At 45.5% G+C, this 26919-nt stretch overlaps 1 protein-coding gene, 1 long non-coding RNA gene and 1 pseudogene across 8 annotated transcripts in view, besides 4 other annotated features; 1 reads left to right on the top strand and 2 right to left on the bottom strand.

The window, feature by feature from the left end:
* ATP1A1 (ATPase Na+/K+ transporting subunit alpha 1) overlaps positions 1-12627 on the top strand; it is a 31531-nt gene extending 18904 nt beyond the window's left edge. For all 3 annotated transcript variants that reach the window (NM_000701.8, NM_001160233.2, NM_001160234.2), the window contains exons 11-23: positions 707-841; positions 1384-1576; positions 2963-3138; positions 4451-4587; positions 5741-5891; positions 6474-6642; positions 6783-6937; positions 7273-7396; positions 8714-8859; positions 8983-9113; positions 9407-9508; positions 11737-11828; positions 12269-12627. In NM_000701.8, coding sequence (NP_000692.2) covers positions 707-841; positions 1384-1576; positions 2963-3138; positions 4451-4587; positions 5741-5891; positions 6474-6642; positions 6783-6937; positions 7273-7396; positions 8714-8859; positions 8983-9113; positions 9407-9508; positions 11737-11828; positions 12269-12297 — 1740 coding nt within the window. In that variant the 3' untranslated portion in view covers positions 12298-12627. The remainder of the gene's footprint in view (positions 1-706; positions 842-1383; positions 1577-2962; positions 3139-4450; positions 4588-5740; positions 5892-6473; positions 6643-6782; positions 6938-7272; positions 7397-8713; positions 8860-8982; positions 9114-9406; positions 9509-11736; positions 11829-12268) is intronic.
* Positions 718-26475, bottom strand: ATP1A1-AS1 (ATP1A1 antisense RNA 1). 5 transcript variants are annotated; one of them, NR_027646.1, is made up of 3 exons: positions 26312-26475; positions 8749-8984; positions 718-879 (listed from the first exon to the last, which is right to left on the bottom strand). It is a non-coding gene; the product is annotated as an ATP1A1 antisense RNA 1 (long non-coding RNA). The 5 variants fall into 5 exon arrangements; NR_027645.1 differs by lacking the exon at positions 718-879 and adding an exon at positions 6853-7167 and having other exon boundaries at positions 26312-26428; NR_024125.2 differs by lacking the exons at positions 718-879; positions 8749-8984 and adding exons at positions 12567-14001; positions 14781-15048 and having other exon boundaries at positions 26312-26436.
* RNU6-817P (RNA, U6 small nuclear 817, pseudogene) lies at positions 21619-21722 on the bottom strand (annotated as a pseudogene).
* Positions 23617-24118: an enhancer, noted in NCBI's record as "NANOG hESC enhancer chr1:116958386-116958887 (GRCh37/hg19 assembly coordinates)". NCBI's record gives its function as "activates a minimal SCP1, AML or CMV promoter by ChIP-STARR-seq in primed H9 embryonic stem cells {active_cell/tissue: H9 hESC(primed)}" and the evidence as "EXISTENCE:reporter gene assay evidence [ECO:0000049][PMID:30033119]".
* Positions 26300-26594: an enhancer, noted in NCBI's record as "tiled region #13778; HepG2 Activating DNase unmatched - State 1:Tss, and K562 Activating DNase unmatched - State 1:Tss". NCBI's record gives its function as "activates a minimal TATA promoter and a strong SV40 promoter by Sharpr-MPRA in HepG2 and K562 cells {active_cell/tissue: HepG2 | K562}" and the evidence as "EXISTENCE:reporter gene assay evidence [ECO:0000049][PMID:27701403]".
* Positions 26300-26683: a biological region, named in NCBI's record as "Sharpr-MPRA regulatory region 13778".
* Positions 26554-26683: a silencer, noted in NCBI's record as "silent region_1231". NCBI's record gives its function as "represses an Ori minimal core promoter by ATAC-STARR-seq in GM12878 lymphoblastoid cells {active_cell/tissue: GM12878}" and the evidence as "EXISTENCE:reporter gene assay evidence [ECO:0000049][PMID:35858748]".

The raw sequence follows: 26919 nt of genomic DNA on the forward strand, positions 1-26919 counted from the left end.
ACAACTGAAAATGCTTTCAGTATGTCAAAATATAAGTGTGTCATCATGTATCATAGAAAATATGTGTGTCACTGAAGCATGGGCTTTAACTAAAATGTTACGTGGTTCGATTTTATTACTGTTGGAGTTGGTAATAGCTTTCAGTTCACATCCTTCAGGCCCAGTTAATTTTGCACAGTTATGATTAGAATGCACAGTCTTCTACTTTGCCCTTGACACAGGCAGCTTGTCCCCAGTCCTGAGACCTTAAGCATTTTCTTACGAATTCTACGGTAATGAAAGGTGCTATAAATGTTTAATCTCTCACTTGGTATTTTCAGATAAGTAACCAGAAGTAGGTAGTTGGGAATAGCATTGGCTTTGAGACTTTTCAGTAGGCCAGGGGAAGATAGAAATAGACTGCAGTAGGTTGGAAGGGTGTGTTAATACCTCTTCTAGGGAAGGTGACACCTTCCCACACCCTTCTTTCACTAGAAGCTGCTGTGGGGTGGGGAAGGACGTTGGGGTTTGAGTCTGAAGCACTGTGAACAGCAGTGGTCGGGGCTAGAGGGACTCCTGTCCCACTTAACACCGCTGCTTCCTTCTTGCCCATCCTCTGCTACCTCTGACAAGATTGGAATGTGTCTTGAGTTATTTTTCCTGTTTTTTAGTGATGCCTCAGTGAAATTTTTTGGAGATAATTTACAGATGATGTCTCTGTTCACAGCGGGCAGTTGCAGGAGATGCCTCTGAGTCAGCACTCTTAAAGTGCATAGAGCTGTGCTGTGGTTCCGTGAAGGAGATGAGAGAAAGATACGCCAAAATCGTCGAGATACCCTTCAACTCCACCAACAAGTACCAGGTCTGAAGATCGATGGGTACACGGAGGGCGAGGGCAAGCTGGGGGACAAAGAGGGGAGGTACATGAGCAGGAAGAGGAAATATTCTCCCTTTGGAGTTTTATAAGCTTTAGCTTTAAATTTTGCCCTTGATTACCATAGAATGCCATAATTTAGTTGAATATCAGCAGGATAAATGAAGCCTCTTGCAAAACACTGTTGAGCCCTTTTGAATACTTGTGGTTTGGGGTGGGTGTGGGCATGTGGGGAGGTGGCTGGAGGTATGTGTACACAAGTGTTCCCCAATCCCTGTGTTCTGAAATTTCGTATGTTCTTTTTTAATGTGAACAAATGTCAGGAATTTATGAATATATCATAGTGCTCATTTTTTTTTTTTTCTGTAGCATTCAAAGTATGTTACAGGTGTAAGATACTTCAGAGTTCAGAAAGAAGGGATCTTGGGTCTTTTATAGCAAATACTAAATAGTAAGTGAAGCTTTGTTTTCCACCATGGACTGCCACACATCCAACCATCCAATGTTTATGTCTCAACAATCCTTCACAGTTGTCTATTCATAAGAACCCCAACACATCGGAGCCCCAACACCTGTTGGTGATGAAGGGCGCCCCAGAAAGGATCCTAGACCGTTGCAGCTCTATCCTCCTCCACGGCAAGGAGCAGCCCCTGGATGAGGAGCTGAAAGACGCCTTTCAGAACGCCTATTTGGAGCTGGGGGGCCTCGGAGAACGAGTCCTAGGTATGCAGATAACCTGGTAACAGAGTGCCTGGGCACGTTTTTATCCAGTAACCTAGTCTGGTAGACAGTTAACAAGTGATCCTATGAACCTCTATGTCTTGTTGACCTTCCTCTACATCTTTTAGGGGCAATCCTCCTATTTGTTTATTTGCCCCCTATTATTTTGAAAACAATAAGTGCTGAAGAAATGTTCAGCGTATTGGGCTGTGAGAAACAACGTCCTGATGGTTTGCTTCTGACTTGTACTTAGACCTTTGGTCTCATGCTAGTCAGTTCTGTTTGTTTAAAAAAAAAAATGGTGGAAGAATATCTTTCTTATCTAACCTTTGTTGCTGTGGACATGACTTATAAGCCTAATTAAAGTTAATTAATTCTTAGTGTGTCTAAGTTAGACATACTATTTCCTGACTGCCTTGGAATGGGTGTGAATTTACATGAGCACTTATGTGCTCAGCTTAGAAACTAGACTAACGGTAAACTTTTAGTCTAAGATGCTACCTATTTTTTTCTACCCTGACAGCTACTGAGGCTGAGAAGTTCACTTTACCCATTGTCTAATGTATTTGGGAAAGTGGCATTTATAATACTTTGTAGGTTGACAGATACTACATTCATTATTTATATAATGCTTCCTATTCTTCTTAACTTGGGTAAATCTAACTCATGGTATCTTTCGTATGTGTCTATCCAACCGAAGGATTGCTATCTTCTCTTTAAGTGTTTTTCACTTCCCTACTTCCACCACCCCAAAGTGGAAGCAGTCTCTCTTCTTTTGAGTCCACATGGCACGTTAAAGATCATTGTAACGTCATACAACATTGAAAAGAATGTCTTACATTATCTTGATTCTTGTATTTACTATACTAGATGATAAACCCCCTGGGCAGAATGCATCTGATCTGTACTTATCCTCAAAAGTAGCTAGCATGATGTCCCACATTGGTGCTCAGTAATATGTTTCAGTTAAATGAACAAGAGAGCAGAGGTATGGCCTTGATGTTTCCAGAGAAGGCAGCTGAGGCAGATAATTCCATGATTTGCCAAATCCAAATAACTTAATGTCATCATCAGTGGGCAAGTCTAGAACCCTAATATCCTGGTGCTCAAAATTAGTGTTATCAATTCAGTCTTCTCCACATTAAACAATTTCCAATTCCTTTGAGGCCTGGTGTGATGGATTCTGTCTTTCAAATGCTTTTTTTCTTTCAGTGACTCTATCGTTCATAAATGTTAAATAAAACCCTCACTCTGTTATAAAAATATAGACTTTAAAAATTTTCCAAAGTAAACACTCCAGAGAAAGGTAGGCGGGCTGAATAGGCTGCTGTTGTCCTTCTTACTGCCCAGCGTCACTGAAATTTTCAAAGGCTCCTGTCCTCCTCGCAGGTTTCTGCCACCTCTTTCTGCCAGATGAACAGTTTCCTGAAGGGTTCCAGTTTGACACTGACGATGTGAATTTCCCTATCGATAATCTGTGCTTTGTTGGGCTCATCTCCATGATTGACCCTCCACGGGCGGCCGTTCCTGATGCCGTGGGCAAATGTCGAAGTGCTGGAATTAAGGTAGTGCCCAGGCGCCTCCTTGGCTTCATCTCTTAGTGCCTTGGGACACCCTACTCAGTGAATGTTGCCTTTTGAGGTCCAGATGGCCAGCTGTTCTATCTCACCTGGAGTATTAATTTCTCATCTCCAAAGCTTTACTTCCACCCAGAAAAGACCAGATAGTATTAAAATATGATGGTGTAAACACACGAGGAATTAAAAATTTTTTGGAAAGCAATTGTGTAAAAAAGAAATGTAAGCAAAGTAAAAACAGCAAAAGACTTGAAGTTTTAAAATACTTGCATTATTCTAAGTTAATGTACCTTATGCAATGAATGGCATATCTTCTGTGTTTTCAGTTAACTGTTTGTTAATGAGTGTTTGGTGTCCTCTGTGTATCTGTCTTTTTTTAAGTAGCTGAATATTACTCAAGTGCACTAATATCCTGTTGCTGGGTATTTGGTTTCTGTTTTTTACTCTCAGGATTTTATTTTATTTATTTTTTGAGACAGAGTCTTGCTCTATTGCCCAGGCTGGAATGTCATAGCACGATCTCGGCTCACTGCAACCTCCGCCTCCCAGGTTCAAGCAATTCTCCTGCCCCAGCCTCCCAAGTAGCTGGAATTACAGGCACCCGCTACCACGCCCAGCTAATTTTTGTATTTTTAAGTAAAGATAGGGTTTCGCCACGTTGGCCAGGCTGGTCTCAAACTCCTGACCTCAGGTGATCTGCCCACCTCAGCCTCCCAAAGTGCTGGGGTTACAAGCGTGAGCCACCACACCCGGCCTACTCTCAGGATTAATACTGCCCTGAAAAGCTTTGTAGAAGTTATTTCCTCACCATTCCGACTGCTTCTTTTTAAAGTATATTCTAAGTATAATCACTGCATCAAAAAATAACAATTTTGAATTCTTGTCACATGTTGCTTTTCCTCCAAGTTGTGCCAATTTGAGAATGCTAGCCAGTAGCATGTGGTGTCTTCACAGTCCCACCAGCATCAGATTTTTATCCTTTTTTTTTTTTTTTTTTTTTGCTGGTTTTAGTAATTTTCAAGTATTTTTATGTAACTCTGTAGAAGGAAAAATAGACATTGTGTATGCTAGTGATTGTATACCAAGATAAAACCTGAGTATTGCCTTTGTGTTTCCTTTCTGTGGATATATATGTTTATATTTTTGGCTAATCGATGTTTATTAGTTTTATATTTGCATTCCTTTCCTTTTGATAGTCTAAGCCGAATCATCCTTAGTATTTACTCTTGCCTACTGGATATAAGACTTTAAGGTCATTTACTTGGCAGTTGCATTCAACACATTGTCTTGTTTATTACAGGTCATCATGGTCACAGGAGACCATCCAATCACAGCTAAAGCTATTGCCAAAGGTGTGGGCATCATCTCAGAAGGCAATGAGACCGTGGAAGACATTGCTGCCCGCCTCAACATCCCAGTCAGCCAGGTGAACCCCAGGTAAGGCAGGAAGCTCAAATCACAGTCTGCTGTGAACAAGCAAATAGTGATGGTTTAAAATCTTCAGCGTGGTTCTATAATGGTTTGCATCTAGGCTTGCTCTGAGTAGGAAATGTACCTGCACTGCCAGAAAGCAACCTTGTCATTCCTAAGAAGGGTTTTAAGTAAGAGCAAGTCATAATAATTAGCACTTAGATGGTATTTACTGTTCTAAGAGCTTGATATGGTGACCTATTATTTGCAGAGCAGGGAAGGTAAGGATTCAAGAGGCTTTTGAAGTACCTCAGAACTGGTGAAATCATGCAGTAAATTCAGCAGTCTAGCTTCTGATTTCATGCTGTTAACCACTGAGCTCTACTGCCTAGCACCTAGCATCTTGACACTTTCCAGGTCCACACTAACAAAATAAAATAAGGAAGGGACAATTACTTAGGCCATTCAGGCAAACACAGGAGACATTTGGCAATGAAGTAAAACAGATAATAGCAAATTGGTTTTGTTTTAAGGTTTAGGGCCCTTTCACCCTATGTTACGGTTAGAGGAGGGTTTGGTCTTGTATCAGCTCTGCCACTTTCTAAAACTTGGTTATATTTCTTTTTTTCTTTGATGGAGTCTCGCTCTGTCATCCCGGTTGGAGTGCAGTGTCATGATCTTGGCTCACTGCAACCTCCACCTCCTGAGTTCAAGTGATTCTCCTGCCTCAGCCTCCCAAGTAGCTGGGATTACAGGCCCCAACCACCATGCCCGGCTAATTTTTGAATTTTTAGACCACCATTTTGGCAAGCTGGTCTCGAACTCCTGACCTCAAGTGATCCACTCACCTCAGCCTCCCAAAGTGCTGGGATTACAGGCATGAGCCACACACCCAGCTAAAACTTGGTTATATTTCAGCATGTCTAATAAAGATAGGGAAAGGAAGAATACAGACAGGCCTGCCTTAGAGATCATCATGAGCCTCAAATGAGATAAAATATATGAAAATGCTCTGTAACCTGTAAAGTACTGAACACTTAATAGCTTTTATGTGCTGGGGAAAATTCCTTCTTTGTTTTGTTTACAAAGTGATCTGCATAAGAATATCCCCTCTTGAGGTGATGGACACATGCTGGTGATGTGATGCGTGACTTTTTTTTTTTTTTTGTCCTAATTCTAGGGATGCCAAGGCCTGCGTAGTACACGGCAGTGATCTAAAGGACATGACCTCCGAGCAGCTGGATGACATTTTGAAGTACCACACTGAGATAGTGTTTGCCAGGACCTCCCCTCAGCAGAAGCTCATCATTGTGGAAGGCTGCCAAAGACAGGTCAGCCAGCACAAGGATCAGGCTGCTTTGGGCACTATTGGCTTTAGGGATTGGAGTTCCAGTGGAAACAGAGCAACGGTGATGGATGGATGCATACCTCGCTGTATTAGACTCAGTATAAATAGGCCAGTAGGAAGCTCATAGGCATAGAGAGGGTGACTTGTTAATGGTTTAGCAGTGACAGAAGCACTTTAAAGTCCAGGTGTCCACTGTGTCCCAGAGCCTGACCGCTCCGTGGAGTCATCTGATATGGGGTCCTAGTATTTGCAATAGAGATGTGAGTGGTCAGACTACAGGGCGTGCATACAGGAATGGCATTTTCTGGAGTGCCACCCACCAGAGTCATTACTTTGAGTAGCTCTTGTTAATGCTGGGGGCTATGTTTGTTGTCACTTCTCAGTTCTGTTATTTGGTGTAGGGCCTGTGTGAATACTTGCCTGTGACGGTTCTCAGGCTTCATAAATAGTCTCAATAGGAAAGGAGCAGTGTCTGTAATGAGTGCTCAGTGGGGGCATGCATCGCACTATTTCCATCGCTAGGAAAAGTGATTGGTATTAACCCGTTTTCCCTTTTCTGGGGTAGGGTGCTATCGTGGCTGTGACTGGTGACGGTGTGAATGACTCTCCAGCTTTGAAGAAAGCAGACATTGGGGTTGCTATGGGGATTGCTGGCTCAGATGTGTCCAAGCAAGCTGCTGACATGATTCTTCTGGATGACAACTTTGCCTCAATTGTGACTGGAGTAGAGGAAGGTGAGAGCTATTTAAGGTGTACACCAAGATCTTATTCAGATACTGCCCATTAGCATCCATTTCTGTATACTTCTTGGATATGTTCAGTTTCCAGTGTGCTTGTCTCATAAGCTAACAGTAAAAAATCTTGGTTTTCATAGGTCGTCTGATCTTTGATAACTTGAAGAAATCCATTGCTTATACCTTAACCAGTAACATTCCCGAGATCACCCCGTTCCTGATATTTATTATTGCAAACATTCCACTACCACTGGGGACTGTCACCATCCTCTGCATTGACTTGGGCACTGACATGGTGAGTGTCACAACAGTCACAGATCGATAGTAGTGAGGTGTGAGCTGTGTCTTCATTCACTGGCACTATGCTCCCAGCATCCATGAGGCTGGCGTTGGGAAAAGAAATTCTCAGGACCAGTATCCAGTGTGTGTCCCAATCCCGGCTTCACAGAATCAGTATTACCACTCTTCAAGGCAGCAGTTAACATTTGTTTATCAGATGGGAATCTTTATTTTTGTATACTTCACCTAAAAGATTTTTAAATGGGAGGGCAAGAATTTTATAACAAAAGGTTCACAATATTAGCTTCCTTATTTTTAGTAACTAAATTCCTTCTCCCCACCCCTTCCCAGGTTCCTGCCATCTCCCTGGCTTATGAGCAGGCTGAGAGTGACATCATGAAGAGACAGCCCAGAAATCCCAAAACAGACAAACTTGTGAATGAGCGGCTGATCAGCATGGCCTATGGGCAGATTGGTAAGCTGCAGCCTGGAGTGGGAAGCTGGCACATCTAAGGCATCTGAGGTGATGGTGTCCACCTCAGGTTGAGGTTGATTTCAGAGACTGCAAATCCAGGCGACTTTCAGGTCTAGGATGAGCCCTAACGGAGTGAGCCTGTGGAGTTTCTCTGAACTCTCTTCCATGTGAGAATACATCTGTTGCTGTTTGCCCAGTTACCTTTTGTGGAAACTGGTTTTCTATACTGAGCACCTTGGAACTGGGCTCAACTCTGCCTGAGAAATGAGGATGTCCTTCCTCACTGAGCCTTGCGGAACAGGAGGCATGGTTCTAAGGAATTGTGTGTACTGACGCACAGGCTGCTTTCCCTGGAGATACACACTTATCTGTCACTCACTTGGATGGAGTTAGGCATTGGAGAAAGTATATGTGTTTGAGAGTTTGGCTGGTAGGTCACCACCAAAGGGTGATCCTCCATCCACCTCACACTGGACTTCTGCCCCCACAGTGCAGCATGACTAGCTAACAGGTGATCCAGGTGGTGGGCAATCAGCATGCCATTTGTTTTTAAATCCTCTGCCTAGGGTTCCTTCAAGAGAACCTGGCAAAGCCACCATGGATGTCTTATTCTCCTGGATTAATGGGTCACATAACTGTGAACGCTTGGATAAAGAAGAACAGATTAGATAGAATATTGTGGAAATTATGGCAAAGATTCATTAGACAGTTGTTGGCAACAAAGTAATTGGCTGGTGGCCCATCCTGACCTTCTCCAAGGAGGCCTGCTTTTGAGAGGAAGGAAGACTAGGTCTCTGGTGGTTTAGGATGAAACCCTGCCCTGAGGAACTTGGAGCAGCGTGGTTAAATTGGATGCCAGGGGGAGGAGGGTCCTGAAGGTGGGGAGGAGAGTCAGAAAGTGCCACAGTGGCTAGAAAAATGGCAGCATGTAGGAATTTTGAAAGATGGAAAAGAAGTTATCATTTGTCAGAGATTAAAAAGTAGGGAAGTGGATTTCCCCTAAAGGTCATACCCTTAGAAGCAGCTGGTCAAGTAACAGGTGGGCATTTTGAGAGCAAGGCACATGTGTCTTTGTGTAGGCTCCAAAAAGTGACTCAAAAAGCAGAGGGCCCTGAGATTGGAGTGTATGCCTGGGGTCCTCCATCCCATCCCTCATAGCCTGTGAGTGACCAGGCAATTCTTTCCTGTGCTTTTATCAACCAGGGGGAAACACTCCTCCATATGTGCTCTCCCAGGCCTGCTGCAGTAATCAGCTGAAGGCTATACAGGTACCCTTGTGTGTGAGGTTCTAGTAATTGGGTTGTTTTCCCAACTTAGGAATGATCCAGGCCCTGGGAGGCTTCTTTACTTACTTTGTGATTCTGGCTGAGAACGGCTTCCTCCCAATTCACCTGTTGGGCCTCCGAGTGGACTGGGATGACCGCTGGATCAACGATGTGGAAGACAGCTACGGGCAGCAGTGGGTGAGTGGGCACCTCTGACCTGACCAGTGTCAGAGCTCCTCAAGCCCCAGAAGACTGAGGCCACACTGCCACCAGCCATGCAGGTGAAGAGCCAGAGCTCATCTTCTGTCTTCTGCATTTCAGACCTATGAGCAGAGGAAAATCGTGGAGTTCACCTGCCACACAGCCTTCTTCGTCAGTATCGTGGTGGTGCAGTGGGCCGACTTGGTCATCTGTAAGACCAGGAGGAATTCGGTCTTCCAGCAGGGGATGAAGTAAGTAATGAAGGACATGTCAAGGCCTTGGCTCAAAGAAGGGGACTGGTGATTTGTAAACCCTTTGCCAAAAACTAAACATATGACACATATAGCCAGGTTTCTGGAATCTCTAGTTTATAGAGCAAATTTAGGAAGCAAGAAATGTAGCTTTCTAGTTTTTTCATCTGACCTCCAAGTTTTCAAGTACAGCTAATACATAAAGATGTTGATCTGCCATTTTAATGCATAGCATTAGAAGATAAACCTTTATTTGCACCTTTTAAGTTTTTTCTCCCCTACTTTGATTTTAGGAACAAGATCTTGATATTTGGCCTCTTTGAAGAGACAGCCCTGGCTGCTTTCCTTTCCTACTGCCCTGGAATGGGTGTTGCTCTTAGGATGTATCCCCTCAAGTAAGTTGATCCTCTGGTAGCTCCAAAAAGTATGAAATAGTATGTGTGGCTTTTCCCCCCATTACTTGTGGTAATAGTTGTTATTTTCAGAATTTTGAGTGGTATGTACAAAAATTCCTATGGGTTGGAAAACTGTGAAAGCTTGACATGTCAGTAAATCAGACTAACAAATCCTGAGGCTTCCATGATAGCAGCTAGTGTTTAGGATTTGGCCCAAGATAAGATAAAGCCACACAGGCTCTAGCTCCATGGAACTGCTCAACAGCGAACTGCATTGAGCACTCAGGTCTGCCACAGCTGTAGTCCAGTTGTCTTTAGAGGCCAACTGGGGGTATGCTGGAGCGTAGGCGCCCAGGCTCAAATCTTGATTTGCTTGCTTAGTCACTGTCCCATTACAAGTCATCCACCTTTCTGAGACTCTGAATACTCTGCTCTCAAAGAAAGAAGGTTGGAGAAACAGATCTGAGGTCCCTTTTACTTTATAATCAGTCATGGGTAGAGTTGATCAAAGGAAGCATACTGCTAGTCTTTGGCCTTAAACACAGTGAATGACTCTGCATTTCAGATAAACTTGAATTTTCAAAGAGGGTTTATCACAAACTCCGTTAGTTTTTTGCAACATTGAGTATGTTTGGTGATACCTGGTTGAGGTTAAGCAACTGCAACTTGATTAAAACGTGCAAAGCCACAGATTGTGGGACCCATTTACAAGTTCCTTTGAAGCTTTTGATTTAAAGCATTAGTCTCCTTTGAATTCCTGCTGTCCTCATCCTTGCTCAGACCCGTCTGGACCATCTCTCAATCCCCTGTTGCCAGCACTTCCTTCAGCTCATCTTATCCCTAAAGTAACCAAAACCCATCAGCCTCATTCACTTCCTGTGGGTTATGTGCAGACATCGTCTGTGGTGCAAGATGAGACTGGCATCCAGAGTCAGTCTCATTGTCCCAACCTGTCTTTATAGCTTTCTCTTGTACCCCTTACCCATCCAAGCTCATGTTAGGTGAATTCGGCTTTCTTCCTCTGCCTTTGTGTTTGGTAAGATCCTTCCTCCCCACATCCCTCCTTCTGTTCCCTCTTACCCTGCCAATCCTGATAGTCCCTTCAGGGCCGGTTTCCTTGGAGCTTGTCCCTCCAGGGCCTGTGCACTTGCACCTCTTCTCTGGCATTACTTGTTGCTTGTCATTTCACCTCCCTGCTAGGTTTTAATCTAGAAGGCATGGGCCACAGTGTCTTTCTTCTCTGTGCATCCCCAGCTCCCTACACAAAGCTGGTGTACAGCAGGGGCCAGCCATCTCCAAATTGAATTCTGTCAGCTTGGGCCATTATGTATCAAGATGGGGCTTGGAGAGGTCACAGAGCTTTCCAAAAAGGCTGGTGGAAAATTACACTGAAAAGGGGGCATTTCCATCTTCTGGGTCCTTCCCTGGTTTTTTTGCCACCACCAAAGAGATTGTTCTGACAGGTTCTGCCCAATTTTGGAAGGTGGTTCAGTTATTCGGTGACTGAGTCAAATGAGATCATCTCTCTTAGCTGCCTTGTCAGACACACAGGAAGAAGAGGAGACCACCGGAGTCCTGCCCAGGGACAGCCTTTCTCACACCATAGCAGGGAGCTGGTGATCACGGAGGCTGCCTGGAGCCTGTCAGCAGGCTAGAGACTGTGTGGCTCAGCCTCCAGGCCCCTTGGAAGCCTTCGGGCTCAGCTTTTTTCAGTCCCCAGGACCAGGCCTCAGAACACAGAGCTGATATCCCAAATGCTGTTGTCAGAGATCAAATTTGGGGAATGCATAAACTGGTTTTGACCCACACTGGCAGGTCTTTATCTTCAAAATGCTGGGATATTAGGCAGATGGTCTTAAAAAGCTTCTTAAACACTTTAGAAATGAAAGAAAGAAAATGTTCAGTTGCTCTGGGATGGTTAACAGAAAAGTACTCTGCTCATCCTATAAACCAAGTCTTATGAAATCCAAACTGAAGATGAGTAGGGATTCCATTACAAAGTCTGCAGACTGATTTCCTCTGCGTCTCTAGGCCCTGGGCACATGGAGTAGCAATCTGTTTTAAGACATTTTTATTTGTTCTGTTAATGACTCAGTAGTTAACTGTGACTGTACTTGGCTTCTCCTTTCAGGCTGATTATTTCATTGTCACTGGTGATGTGCAATTTCTCTTTCTTTATTTGAACTGTGTTCGTGTGCATATAAATTGGTACCTTACTCTATTTCCAGACCTACCTGGTGGTTCTGTGCCTTCCCCTACTCTCTTCTCATCTTCGTATATGACGAAGTCAGAAAACTCATCATCAGGCGACGCCCTGGCGGTAATTATGGGCATTCTGACTTTGGTTGGAGGAGGAGTGGGAGGGGCTATAGTTCTATTGGTTTTTTGTTTCCCTCAAGGTGTCTAGGCTCCCTCAGTGGTCAGTCTGATTAGCTAAGGTGACTGGACCAGCAAACTGACCATAGTCACATCTTCAGAATGTAGATCTCAGTTACAGTTTGAGGACTGGTCATGTTTTAGACTTTAAAATACAAACCAAGTATGATTTAGTGAAAACTTGTCAGAATCTAAACCATCTTTCCAGGTAACTTGGTATTCCTAAAAACATGTAAATAAGTACAGTTGAGGTCCCATGTTTGGATTTTAACACACCCGACCCCCATCATCCTCCGGTTGGTTTTCATCCCTGTTTCCCTCTGTAATGCTGGAGCGAGGAAGACTCACTGTAGTGTGTCTTGTCTGTCTCTTTGCCACCCACAGGCTGGGTGGAGAAGGAAACCTACTATTAGCCCCCCGTCCTGCACGCCGTGGAGCATCAGGCCACACACTCTGCATCCGACACCCACCCCCTCTTTGTGTACTTCAGTCTTGGAGTTTGGAACTCTACCCTGGTAGGAAAGCACCGCAGCATGTGGGGAAGCAAGACGTCCTGGAATGAAGCATGTAGCTCTATGGGGGGAGGGGGGAGGGCTGCCTGAAAACCATCCATCTGTGGAAATGACAGCGGGGAAGGTTTTTATGTGCCTTTTTGTTTTTGTAAAAAAGGAACACCCGGAAAGACTGAAAGAATACATTTTATATCTGGATTTTTACAAATAAAGATGGCTATTATAATGGAATTTGTCTGTGCCCTCGTCGCTTCTTTGGTACAGATGTCTATGTGATCTGGAGCTGTGGTTTTCAACATGAGTCCCTGACCAGCAGTTTATCAGCATCACCTGGTTGCTTGCTAGGAAGGCGGGCCCAGACCCACTGAGTCAGAAATGCATCAGCAATGTGGCTTAATAAGCCCTCAGGTGATTTTGATTTACATTCAAGTTTGGAAACCACTGGCTAAGAGGAAGCATTCTGCCCGTGCTCTTTTAGTTGGAGTAGGTGAGTTTACCTGACCCATTTTTTCTGGCTGCTGCCTGGGGTGATAGGGCTGTAACTCCACCTGCTGCCTTAGCATCTGGCTTTTTGATGGAAGAGCACCTCGCCTAAAGGATTTCCAGACCCTCAGAGTATACTAAACTGCAGATGAGGCCCTTCTCTTTCAGTCTAAAAGAGACCTGAAGCCTTCCTGCTTTCCCTCCAGAGATCACCACCACATCTCAAGTGTCTCTAGCCCAGGGCTTATCTGAGAAGCAGAAATCTATCCCACACAGTCTGCCTGGGCATGTGTGCTGAGAAGTGGTTCCCTTCCTTCCATATAATGTGTTCCTAATTTAGCATCAATGACACAATTTCAGCAAGTGGTTATGTGCCAGCAAGCACTTAAGAAAAAGGTGAAAGAGATGTGTTTACTTCAGGGTCAAGTCTGAGAACACCTCCTGCTTTCAGAGCTGCTGTAAAAGGCTCCCCTCAGTCTCAGCCATGAGTGGTGCAGAGTGCTGTTAACTGCCGGTGCTTCTCCCAGGCTGTCATTGCCAACTGTCGCCTCCAAGCAAACACAACAAGCAAACTCCTTACCTCTGGCACCAAACAGTGATCGTGATCTGCCAGATGATCATAGTGTCTTTTTTCTCCGAAAAGCTTAACTCAGTCCTCATGCTTGGTTGCTGTGCACTTCCAAGCTGGGCCAATGCGGGAGGAGACAGTGGTGACTCCTGTACACTGGGGCTGTGGTTGCTGCACCCACCCACTCCAGCCGCAGAACTGGGAGGGGCAGGTGGTCTTGGACTCTCCTTTCTTGGGGCACTTTCCCCTGGGATGATCTCTACATTTGTCTGCAAGTCATCTTTAAAATGAGCCATTTGCTCAGACCAAGATAAGGAAACTAGAACTAAAAGATCATGGGATTAGAAGGTTGTGAGTCAGGTAGCAACTGGAGCCTCCTGGAAGGTACTTTACTGGCCCAGCTGTGACGGCAGGGCCAGTCACACAAGACGTCTCTTGTGAGGTCAGGCTGGCACTGGTGGTATCCGTACTGCGACTCCCTGTATGTCTACTTTCGGCATCCCTGGAGAAGACCAACGCACATACGCTGCTGCGATGAAGGTCATGGGCATTTCCTGATGCAAAAGATTTGAAACACTCTGAGACTTTAGCTTTTGACAAGGGGACCCCAGAGAACGTTAAGCCAGTGTTTCTCTGACAGCTCTAAGAAGCCCTGGTCTTCTGGGAAACCCTGGAGGGAGCAAGGCAAAAGGAAGGCTCTGAACTTCACACCTGATTTTCCACCAGAACATTTCTGCCCTTTTCTGTGTGACAATCCTTTGAATAGAAAGTTCTACAGCCAAACATTTGATTTAGGAAGAGCAGGTAAGTGAGCTGCTCTTCATGGGTAAAGCTGGCACCAAAGTCAGGCCTGCTGTGGGTTAGAGCTTTCCCAACTTTCTAAAAGCAGGAGTGCTTGGGCTCTCATTTCTACCTCTACGCTCAAACTCTCCTGCTGGCCCTGTCACTAGGAGCTAAAATCACTCCAGAGCCATCACAAGCAGCTTCTCACAATGGCCCTCAGCACTGTCGATTCCCTACAGATCTCTGTCTCTGACCCCCCTTTCAAATGCCTTCCTAACAAACACTTCTGACCACATACCTTTTTCAGTATATGGGTCCTCACTGATATGTTCAACTTCTTAAGGTCCTTCTCAGCATTTAAATTGCGGTCTTATCCCTCTCACATCCTGACCCCTACCCCTTTCTCTAGCTGTCACCCTCCCTCATGGACAAACTTGTAGAAGAGTCACTGCCACTCCTCCTAATTGTTCACCTCCCAGTCATCCCTCTGCCTCTTCCAGCTCCCATGAACACCAGTCCACCAAAATTGCCTGGTTGAGGCCATACTGACCTCCTGATGCATCTTGGTCCTTCCTTGACCTCTGCTGCATCTCTTCTGTCCATCACACCCTTCCTGAAACCAGACCTCCCGTCTTTCTGTCATTGTCTCTGTGCACTCCTTAGCTCTCAGCCCCCTCTTCACCTGCTCGACCCCTCGTTTCCTCAGGGAGGCCTCCACACCTTCTCTCCCTGCTTCATACTCTTCCTGGCATGATTTCCAGCTCTGATCTGGTCCTCTCCTGAGCCCCAGATGTACAAATCCAGTGTGTCCTAGACATCTGCATTTGTTCAGAAAGAGCATGGCACACTTGAGTCTTAGTACCAATGGCGAGCCTAAGTTTGAGGTTCCACAAATAAATATGCTTTAGGCAGTGATGACATTTGGCACCCTACTGCCCAAGCGAGAAACCGGAAAGGTGGGTGAGCCCTCTCTTTTCCTGCTCTGCCCCCCACCCAATTACTGTGGATTCCAATGTTGTGGTAGAGAACATGGACTTTGCGTCTTTTAACAGACACAGACAGTGTCCCATCACTGGCTGATGAAGGGCACATAATTTAGCCTCTTTGTGCTTCCTTTACTCTAGAATATTTCAGAGCTGTTAAAAGGATTAAGTGAAATTATGCATAAAAGGGAGTCTCATAGTGGCTGCTGTTCAATAGTTCATTCTCTCTACTGCCGGTGTCCTTTACATCTGGGTGCTGGAAGCGGCTTTTTGGTGGTATCCCTAATTTTTGCCTTTCTCTATTCCGGTAGTTCTCAAAGTGTTTCTGGACCAGCAGCATCAGTATCACCTGGGAGCTTGTTAGAAATGCAAATTCTGATGCAGACCTATTGAATCAGAAACTGGAGGTGAAACCCAGCAATCTGTTAGAAGTAGCTTTCCAGGTGATTCTGATGCACAGCAAAATCTAAGAACTAATGCTCTAATCCATCCTCCAAGCCCATATGGCTGCCCCTCTCCACCATCCATCTTCACACTGGACCCCAACACATAAACCCATCTCTGCTCAGCCATTCAAACTCCTGTGCAGTCCCCTAATGTGCCATACACCCTTTCTTCTGCCATCCTATAAGTCCCTTTGGCATTCTCCCAACCCACCCACCTTCCCCCCGACCTTCATTCACTTGGCAAATCCACTCACCCTGTGAATACCCATTAGGTCTGGATCCTCACTTTTGCACACCTTAGTGTAGCACTTCCACTTCTGTTGATTTGCCTGTTCCCGGATAGATTATGAGTTCCTAGATGACATGGACCAGGCTATACCCTCCCCAGCATCTAATGCTATGGATGTTTATTGAATGAATGGATGCATGCACATTTTTCTGTTGCCCAAACAGCCATCATTTTAACATTTCACTGTCACTTTGAGTCCGCTTCTTGGCTTAGGGCTGACACCTTACCCAAGGGAAATCCATGTCCCGGCTTGCCACCTGTCTGTGAGTTAAGGCCTCTCCTCTCTCAAGACTTTGAAGTTAGAGAGTGTAAGAATGAGTCATGCATGGAATTAGGGTGTTAGAAAGTTGAGTGGGGACCCATGGCAAGCAAAGGTACTAGGTAAAGAAGAGATCCACAAAGACAGAGACACCAAAAGGAACATCAGCCCTGGACCTGCCTGGTTCCAGAGCTTTTTAGTCCCTGTCCTGGGCCTCTAATGCTCTCACAAACCCCTCCCTTCCCCAAACTAGATTGAAATCTCCCATCAGATAGTTGATGAGTACTCTCTATTTCTTCAAAGAACTCACAATTCTAATTAATTATCTATATTACTCAGTTATGTAATTATTAATTTAATATCCCTTTTTTTCCTGCTAAGCTTTATGAGGTCATAAAGCCAATCTGTTCTTTCCATTTTATCCCTGGTGCTCAGCTCAGTGCCTCACAAAGAAAACTGAACACTTAGCACAGGGGGTCAACACTCCCTACTGAAGGAGGAGGGCATAGAGGCAAAGGGACTTGTCCATGGTGTCCTGTGTTTAAGAAAAGGAGGCAAGGCTGGAACAAGACTGGAATGGGTGGGTCTCACACTTCCCACCAGCTACGCTGTGTGCCGTCCTCCTAGATGCAAACCTGACTGCACAGATGTTCGGGCGCTCACAGTGGGAGGCATCTCCTGGCTGGGCTCAGGCTTGCCGGTGGGACTGCACGGGATTTGTGCCCACAGACTTTCAAGTGCTGGGTTTCCTTTTCAGCCCCACCACCTCACCCATGTGCCCGGAGACAGTGTAAGTCTCAGCAGTGGGTTGGGAAGCCTGGATCCTGGGCATTTTAGGTGGACAATGTGGGCAAGTCATGTGGTCTCTCCAAGCCTCTGTCTGTAAAATGGGAGGTGACCCCCGTTCCTACCTCATGAGGCTATCGTGAAGACTAAGTGAAGGAAAATGTGGAAAGGGTTTAGTACAGTGACTGGCCCTTCATCATAGTTCAATAAAAGGTCACTCACCTCCTACACCCGCCCACACACACATCTCCACCCCAAACTGTGCTCCAGGTGTCTCCTGAAGATAAACACAGGGGAACGCATTGCTGTTCCCACCTAATGGAAGTAGCTACTTACTGTATAGTGGTTGTTACATGCCAGGCAATGTCCTAAACTATCAACATTTCAAAAGTGAAACAACAGAGCCTCAGAGAAGTGAAGTAACTTGCCTGAAGTCACACAGCCACAAAGTGGCAGAGTTGGGTGAATCTGCCTTGAACCCAGACGGGCTCGAATCCTGGGCTCCCAACATGCTAGGGAAGTGTTGGCTGTGGTGGCAGAAAGCACTAGCAGGGACCAAGAACAGGAGAAGGGCAGTGTTTTTATGAAAAACAAAGAACAGGGAAGGTTAGAGTTGGTGTTAAAACATAAGATCATGGAAAGTTTCTTGGAAATTAAGCACATGCTGTTGAACAGTTACTCAAATGGATTTGCCCCCAGGAGCTGCTGGGTGATCAAGCTGCAACTTGCATAACGGGAGCAAGAAGGTGGGAGGCTCTAATCCTCGGCAAGCTCGGCACTGCCTCTCCTGTTAGGTGAATGGGCAGATCTGCTTCCCAGGCTGCGGCTGTCTGCGTACGGGGATGTGTCCCTTGCCTCCTGTGGGCTGCAGAGAGGCCTCCTCTGCGTTCATGATTGTCCTTCAGCTGACAGAAGTTTTAATACTGTCCCTCCTGGCCCTGTCTTGTATAAGCAGTGATCTCATCCCTTCTCATCTCTTCCCTTCCCCATTTAGGACTCTGACGCAGTACAGTTAATCTGTGCACAGGAAAGAAGAGCTGTTTGAAGAGGTTATTCGGTAAATGCAGAGAATGTCTTTGTAGTATAAATTATTGCTCTATATAAAACTGCTTGTAAGTTTTTGTTGGTGGTGTTTTTTTGTTTGTTTGTTTGTTTTAGAGATGTGGTCTCACTCACTATGTTGCCCAGGCTGGGCTCAAGAGATCCTCCTGACTTGGCCTCCCAAAGTGCTGGGATTATAGGTATAAGCCACAGCGCCCACCTGGTTGCAAGTTTTTAAAGTTTTGCTAAAATGACAGGCATATGAAGACATTATTGCCAACTATATATTGTCCCAGAAACAAACATTCATCCTTTACTATAAAAGTCTTCTGCGTATGGGTTCTCTCCCAAAGAAGGGACAGCAAAATGCTCACAGCCAGCTCTTCACCCCATGTGCATGTGCCAGGAGAGAAGCCCAGAGTCCTTGCAGGTCACCCAATCCAGCTCCCTTATCACTGGTGCCAACAAGGCAATGTTTTCTAAGGGAAGGGAAACCAACATTTATCGAACATGTACTACTGCCTACAGCACTATTTTGGGGGCTTTTTATTTCATTTCATCCTATGAAGTAGCTAGAGGTAAATATAATCCCCACTTTGCAGAGGGGAAATTGAGAGGTTAGTAGCCTGTAAGAAGTGGTTAAGAATGTGTTTGAACACATATCTATAAGCCTTAATCTTTCCATTAGATCAAGCTGCTTCCCATTAGGGACATAAAAGAATCCTGTGTTGCCACTGGTGGTTTTTACCTCAACATACCCTAAAGCCAGAGACTCCCATATACTAAGGTGGACTCATCAGATTCTTGTGGGTCCATATACTTGAGCAGCTAGCTAGGTATACTTATTCCAAAGAAGTAGCTAGTAGGTAGGCATGGCAGAAACTTATTAGTTGTTCAACAAACCATACCCCTTCTTCTTCCTAAGCACCCACCTTGAACACATTTCTCACCCCACCTTGTGGAGGTACAGCCATGTGACTGTTCTAGGCAACGGAACAGGAGTTCACCTGATGTACCTATCACTTGCAGGCCTGGCCCATAAGCCCTTCCACAAAAAAGCATTCTCTTTCTATACCTACCAGATGCATGGTGGAAGAAATAGGAAGGCCCTCAAGCAGTGGTTCTCATCGTTAGCTGTTGATTGAAATCACATGAGAGCTTTAAATATCGCCATTGTCAGGCTGCATCCTAGACCAATTAAAACAGACACTCTGGAAGTGGAACCAGGCATCAGGATTTAACAAAGCTTCCCAGGTGATTCCAGTGTGCTGCCAAGGTAGAAAATCATTGCCTCAGGCTGGGCACTTTGGGAGGCCAAGGCAGATGGATCGCCTGAGGTCAGGAGCTCAAGACCAGCCTGGCCAACATAGTGAAACCCCATCTCTACTAAAAATACAAAAAATTAGCTGGGCGTGGTGGCGGGCACCTGTAATCCTACCTACTCAGGAGGCTGAGGCAGGAGAATTGCTTGAACCCAGGAGGCAGAGGTTGCAGTGCAGTGAGCCGAGATCGCATCATTGCATTCCAGGCTGGGCAAAAAGAGCGAGACTCCGTCTCAAAAAAAAAAAAGAGAAAAAAGAAAAAAAAAATCAAATCATTGCCTCAGAGCAATGATTCTCAAAATGTGTCCCCCAACCAGCAAGACCAGCAAGACCAGCAATGCCTGGGAACTGTTTATAAAATGCACATCCACAAGCCCCATCCCAGACCTACTGAGTCAGAAACTCTGGGGAATTGCATTTTAAGCTCTCCAGATGACTCTGATGCATACTGAAGTTTGAGAACTTCTAGAGGAAGTAAGCCACAAGACAGAAGGAGCCTGGCCCTGAGTCGCTGCTTGGAGGAGGGCCATGTGAGAGAACAACTCAATCAGGAACACCCATATCAGACTATTGTGTGAGAAACCCACTTTCATTGTGTTAAGCCATTGACTCAGTGGGTACGCATTTATGTGGCTTATGAGAGAACATGGAAGATTGGAAGGTGGGGTCTAAGCAGTGGTGTGCAGGAGCTGGCTCACACCAGCTCATTTGTTAAATTTTCAGGAATTTTGCAAACAAGGTGACTTCTCATTGGCAACATTAAATTGGCCAAGGTTGGAATAGTTACACCATGGAAATTGTCAAATGCTACAAACCAGGACTTGTTTTCCCAGAGAGCTGGTTGTTAAACATTAACCAGCACACCACTGGGACTAAGCATCAGAGAGTAGAAAGGTGGGATGATGGTACAGTGGCCCTGGGCTGTAATGAACCATCAAAGGAAATGCCATCATGTGAGGCTCTCTAGGCCCAGCCCACACGCAGGCTTCTCTTGACAACACTGTGTCTTTGCCATGTCCTTGTATTTAGAGATTCTGGAAGCTGAGAGAGAAAGACTGTGGAAGCAGAGTGGGTGAATGGTCAAAACTATCATTCAGGTTAAGAACTGGTGGGGTTTCTCAACTGTGGCACTGTTAAGCTTTTGATCAGATGAATCTTTTTGGGGGACGGTATCCTGTACCTTGTGCATTTTAGTAGGTTTAGCAGCCTCCCTGGGCTCTACCCACTAGATGTCATTAGCCACCCTTCTCCCTCCAGTTGTGACAAGGAAAAGTGTCTTCAGATACTATCAAATGTCCGTCCGCTGGAGGCAAAATCACCCCCAGTTGAGAACCACTAATTAAGAACTACCTAGAAGGCAAGAGACACCCCCATAGGGGTGGGCTGGGCCTCAGCCTACCATCTCAACCCCATGACAATTTAGGGAAGATGCTTTTGGATTCAACTGTAATCACTTTCTATCACATTCTATTAATCTCTTTTCCAATGTTCCCTATCTCTCTGATCACTCCACTCCGTTCTCTACCACACAGCTCCCAGAGTCTGTACCACATTAGCTCTTGGTTTGGGAGTGTCTGATGTTGACTGAAAAATATTTCAAGTGTGTTAGCTTCTCTCCTCGACACCACTGGCCTCCATCCCTCTTCAAGATAGTATGGTGCAGGGATTGAGAACACTGGTTCTAATGGCAGCTGGTCTGCCTGGATCTTGCTCTGCCATACTTTAGCTCTGACTTTAGGCAAGTCACTTAACCTCTCTGAGCCTCCTCCATTTCCTTGTTAATCAAACGGGTGAAAATACTATTTCCTACTTCATAGAGTTCTGAGAATAAAGTGAGATAATACTCAACAAACACTGGCTACTGTTTTTCACTCAACGGATTTTAGAGCACACCCAGAATGGTGGACCATGTGCCACATGCTGGGGGAATGGAATTGAGCAAAACAAACACATAGGCCCACTCCCTGTTACAGTCTGGTGGGGAAGACAGTGCAATGAGCAGGTCTTAAGAGGATGTGTGGTAAGTGCCAGAAGAGGAAAATCCCCTGGTACCACAGAAAACCACAGGTGGAGCCTAACCAAGCCTCAGGGGTTGGGAGGAGGCTCCTGGGGAAAATAAGGATGGGCTCCGGGCAGGCCCTGCTGGTTGCCTGCCAAATGTACATGCCCTCCCCTTGGTCTTTACCCATCCCATGCTCCACTGGGGTATCCCAATTTTTCTGGATCTTTTTTCTTTACACTTTTTTCCATTTATTTACTTATAAAAATACGGAATGCTTCATGAATTTGCACAGCATCCTTGCACAGGGGTCATGGTCATCTCTGTGTGGTTCCAATTTTAGCATACATGCTTCCAAAGCCAGCACTCTTCACTTTTTTCACCACACTCAGCTCTCCTTCCTTTCTTCTCCTAAAAGGTAACCAACCATTTTAATGTTTATCTTCTTATTTCAATGTGTTCTTGCAACATGGGTATTGTTTTGTGTGTGTGTATGTACTTTTAAACTTTTATCATGAAAATTCTCTAAGGTACACAAAAGTAGAGAAGATAATATCACAAACTTCCATGTAGCCATCATGTAGTTTGAACAATTTTACCAACATTTTGCCAATTGTGTTTTATCTAGTCTCTCCTCTCCATCCCTACTTCTTTCTTTCAGAAGTATTTTAAGACAATCCCAGACATGGTTTCACCCATTATACATCTCAGTATGCATGTTCAACAGAAAATGACTTTTCCAAAAAACTCATAACCACCAAGTAGATTCTTTTTTTCTTTTTTTTTTTTTTTTGCTATGAGTACTCCTGATCCTTCCTATGATACTCCAGTTGCTTCTAACTGCTACACAGTGCTTTTTGTGTGCACGCCCCACATGTGACCTATTATTTTTCACAATAATTGACACTCAGTTGGTGGGCAACTCCCTTCCACCACTAATAAGACTGCAGGAGCATCCTCACACAGGTCTTCTCCTGGCCTTTGTGAGAATTTCTCCTGGGACAGAACTGTGGGTCACATGATATATTCATTTACATAATTTCACCAAGAAGACCAGACTGCCCTCCAGAATGGCTGCACCAGTCCACAGTCTCACCAGCAGCGTGAGGTTCCCATGTCTGCACACCCTGCCAATCACTGGAATTGTCCAGCTGGCTTTTTTTCTTTTTTTTTAATTTTCTCAGACCTCGCAGGTTTCTATTAATAATTGTTTTCAGTCTATGTAAAGTCTCATTTAAATTCATATTTTTGATGATTAACAATGATTTTGAGCATTTTATCATATTTTGTAAGATTTTAGGGTTAATTCTTCCATAAATGGCATGTTCATATCTTTTACTCATTTTTCTATGGGGTTGCTGTCTTTTTCCTGATTTGTAGGAATTCCTTGTGTATTCTAGATATTAGTCAGTTTTAGACACTGCAAGCATCTTTTCCCATTCTGTCATTTGGTCCTACTTTTTGATCACTTTTGTATCCGCCTTTCTCTCCCACCTTCAGCTCCAGGGGGATCTCCTGCTCAGTCTCATCTACTCATGAGACTCCTATACCCCCTTGCCAGTGATGGATTTAGGAATACAGTTGTGACCAATTCTCTACAACATAGTGAATTCAGCCAGAGGGCTTCCAAGAAAAATTTCTTCACTCCTCAGAGACACAAGAAGATCTAGTCTCTGTCTCTCCTCCCGCTGAGTGTTCTCTGGATATGACATGGAGCTTCTGTAACCATCTTACTACCAGTTTGAGGATAAAACCCACCATGAAGGCATGGTACTGTTGGTGGCAGAGTTAAGCCACTGTATTAACCACCTTGGGGCCTGCATCACCTCTAGTCTTCCCTTTAAGTGAGATAATAAATGTCCTCCTCATCTAAGTTAGATTGAGCCAGGATTTCTGACACTTGCAGTGAGAAGGATATGGACAGATGCAGCCTCTAAGCCAGGGGTTTTTGAATCTTTTTTTTTTTTTTAATCGCAATCACCAGTAAGAATTTGGCTTTTTATATCATGATCCCGCATCCACATAACAAACAGCACTTAACTTCATGGTGTCTAATGTGCTCAGATAGCCTCTTTTCTATTTCCTTTAATCTTTTTGTCTTTGTTTTTCTGGAGGGTGTGGGGGACGGTAATGCTCAATGTAACCTACTAAATTAATTACACAAGCTACTAATGGGTCATGACCCACAGTTTGAAAAACATTGCTCTAGGTCTCAGGCCTCTGAACTGAGGCCTGTAAGAATAATGGGCTTTAGTCAAGTAAGATCTGCAGTGGGGAGCGAGGATGGTGGGGAGGGTGTTTTCTAGGAAAGAATACTGTACAGAGGCCCTCAGCAGGATGGGGCCAATCAGATACCTCCCTCCCCCAAGTGTGACCACAGAGTGAGCCCTTGATAAACCTTTGTTGATTGGTTGTGTTCCCTCCCACAGCTCTCCTCCCAGGGTGCCTTTCTGCAACCTTATTCTATGAATAGATGAGAGCTCTTATCTCCCCTCTGCCTGACCCTCAGGACACAGAAGGGTTGGGGGGGGGGAGGGCCCTGAAGTCGGCTAATTAGAGATGGCTGGGAGGATTACTAGGGCCTTGCTCTGGCAGCTGTGCCCACCTCTAAATTCAATATCCAGAACCTGCAGAGAAAGGGCTCACCTTGATAAGCTCCGGAGACAAAGCAGGAGACAGATAGGGTTTGTTCTCAACAGAGCACTCACCCTCTGAATACAGTTTTTGTTTAAGCCCCAAGGCTGGGAACATTCCACAGCCTGGCAAACTCCCTGTCTCCTCAAGGTCAGTCCTTCCTCAGCATTCCTCTTTGGAAACGTCTCCCACGGCTGGCCCTGCTCCTGCCCCCTGGCTTTAGGGGCAGTTATATAACTCTTAGGAAGACCTAGAAATGCAAGCATATGGTGTCCTCAATTCCCAGCACAGACTTGCTGCTTCACATTTTTAGCTGGTGCTGAGAGACTGGCTTTCACACACAGACACACACACATACACATCCCTGACTCATAACTACATTTCTGCTGCAGTATTGCAGATTTCTAAAAAATTAAATCCTACATCTGGAGCCACATAAGGGTGAAAGCATAGGACATTTTGTCCCAGTAACTGTGGGGATAGAAAGGCCTCTGAGGCAGGACACAAAGGCCATATCAGGGCCACTGCAGGGCCAGAGGTCCTAGCACCCCTGGCTTTGGCTCTGAGGGTTTGGTTGCTTGCAGCTGAATTCCCTAACCAAAGCCTGTCATGTGTGGTGCCAAGCTCACAAATTCAGCATGCATCTACTATGTGTTTGCAATGACTAAAAGGTTACAGAAGGCAGCCTGGATTGCGGGGATCGGGGATACTTAGAAAATACGTTCTGCAAAATGTTGTATTAGAGGTTCTGAAAATTAAGATACAGAAAACATTTTACTTAATGAAGAAAATAGGGTAAATATGTTCAAAGGAGTATAGTTGTTAAAAGCAAACTGTTTAGAGTCAAGATCAACCCAGATTCACTTTCTGGTTCTCTGCAGCTTACTAGCTGTGACCTTCAACAAGTCTCTCTTAACCTGAGTCTTAGCTTTCCAATATGTAAAATGGACACAGCATTGTGAGGGTGGTTGGGAGGATTAAATGAGATCAGAGAATTTAGCACCATGACTGTAAAGAGAAAGGGCTCTACAAATGTAGCTGGTACTACAATTCACTTTTTTTTTTTTGAGACAGGACCTGACTGTCACCCAGGCTGGAGTGCACTGGCATGATTACAGCTCACTGCAGCCTCGACCTGCCAGGCTCAAGCCATCCTCCCACCTCAGCCTCCAGAGTAACTGGGACTACAGGCATGCGCCACCACATCCTGCTAATTTTTATATTTTTTGTAGAGATGGGGTTTTTGCATGTTGCCAGGCTGATTTCAAACTTCTGAGCTCAAGCCATCTGCCTGCCTTGGCCTCCTAAAGTGTTGGGATTATAGGCAAATGAGCCACCACGCCAGCCCACAATTCACTTTAAACACAAGTGAAACACATTTCATTAGACAGTGGAATAGACTTATGTCAATTTTCTTTTCTCTCTTATTTTACACAGTCTGATTTCCTGAAGACAGGAGGCGGGAGTAAGCTAATCAGGCCCTGAGTTAGCTGTTTCCAAGAAGCTTAGAGTGTCCCACTTACCTACGGGTTGCAGGGCCCGCATTGCCAGTAGGGCTGGCTTTTAGGGATGCTGCTGTTGGTGTGTGCTGTACTTGTTTTCTAGGATTGGGACAAGCTTCCTTGAGCTCCTGACTTTAGAGACCAGGTTTGGGAACTGATGGGTGCAGCAAATGCAAACAGACAGCAAACAGGCCAAAGAGGAGATTCATTCACTGAAGAGGGCCCTGGTACAGTACTGTCGAGGTTTTGCGGTGGCCTGGACACGGCTGGCTCCTTCGACTTACACAATATATCTTCTCTCTCTCTTACCTGCACTTATAAGAATCGGTGCTAAGGGTATGTGCCTACCACAGTGCAGCTTGTAGATTAATGAAGAAAGAATTGCTGCCACTTCCCAAATATTAAACGCCAGGTTCTGCCTATGCATATTCTCTCAACCTTCACAACACACCTACTAACTCCAGCTTACAAATGAGGAGACGAACCAGCAGGCTGTTCCAGGCGTCTGGTTGTAAGAGCAGTGGCAGTAGAGAAAATGATTTATTTTAGCACCAGCCACTGTGCTAATCCCTTTAGATATCATCTCATTTAATCCTTTTAACAACCCTGAAGCACCATCCTTATTCTAAAGGGACTTCGGACCTCTCTGCGGTCCACACTGTCCCCTGCTCGGTGCAGGAGTGTAGACTGGGACTGTTCCGTCTGGTGGTCTCCCCGACAAGGGTTCACCTGGAAACTGGCCTTTGGGCTGGGATTGGGACTCTGTACTTAGGCTGGCAGCCCATATTAGGACTGGGCACCGTGATAAGCACTTTCTTACCGCAAATGCACGATTTCACTCGGCCCTCACACACCCCACGAGGTGGGCACCGTCACAGTGCCATCTCACAGGCAAGGAGGCCAGGCCCAGGCCCTGAGGATGCGCCGCTCAGGTGGGAGCTTCCGGGGAGCTCGCGCGACAGCCTGGGGGAGCGCGGATTCGTCTCTGCGCTACGGCGGCTGCAGAGGGTCAACCCGCGGAGGCGGCGCTTCGCGGCGGGTCCTCGGCCTGAGGCTGTGGGATGCCTCCAAACCCGGCGCGGCCTCCGTCTGCAAGGAGAGCAGAGGGTCCCCGCCGGGAGCGCGCCCGGCTGCGGCCCCAGGCGGCCCTGCCCGCAGCCGCCACCTGAGCTTGGGCGCGGCTCCTATCTCCCACCCGCGCGTCGGCCAGTGAAGGGCTCCGTGCTTAAACATCATTCGTTACAGAAGTATTGCGGCCATCACACGGCATTTTAAAAACACGAATGATGATAAATAACTTTAACACTGCTTCCAATTCTGCCTCCAAGCACAGCATCATTACCATTTGCATGCGTTTCACTTCATTCGATTTCCATGTGTATGGATTTGTTTCTACATAGCTGTGGTAAAACGCACATACTAAACTGA

Source organism: Homo sapiens, chromosome 1 (assembly GCF_000001405.40).
Source record: "Homo sapiens chromosome 1, GRCh38.p14 Primary Assembly".
Taxonomy (NCBI): Eukaryota; Metazoa; Chordata; class Mammalia; order Primates; family Hominidae; genus Homo; species Homo sapiens.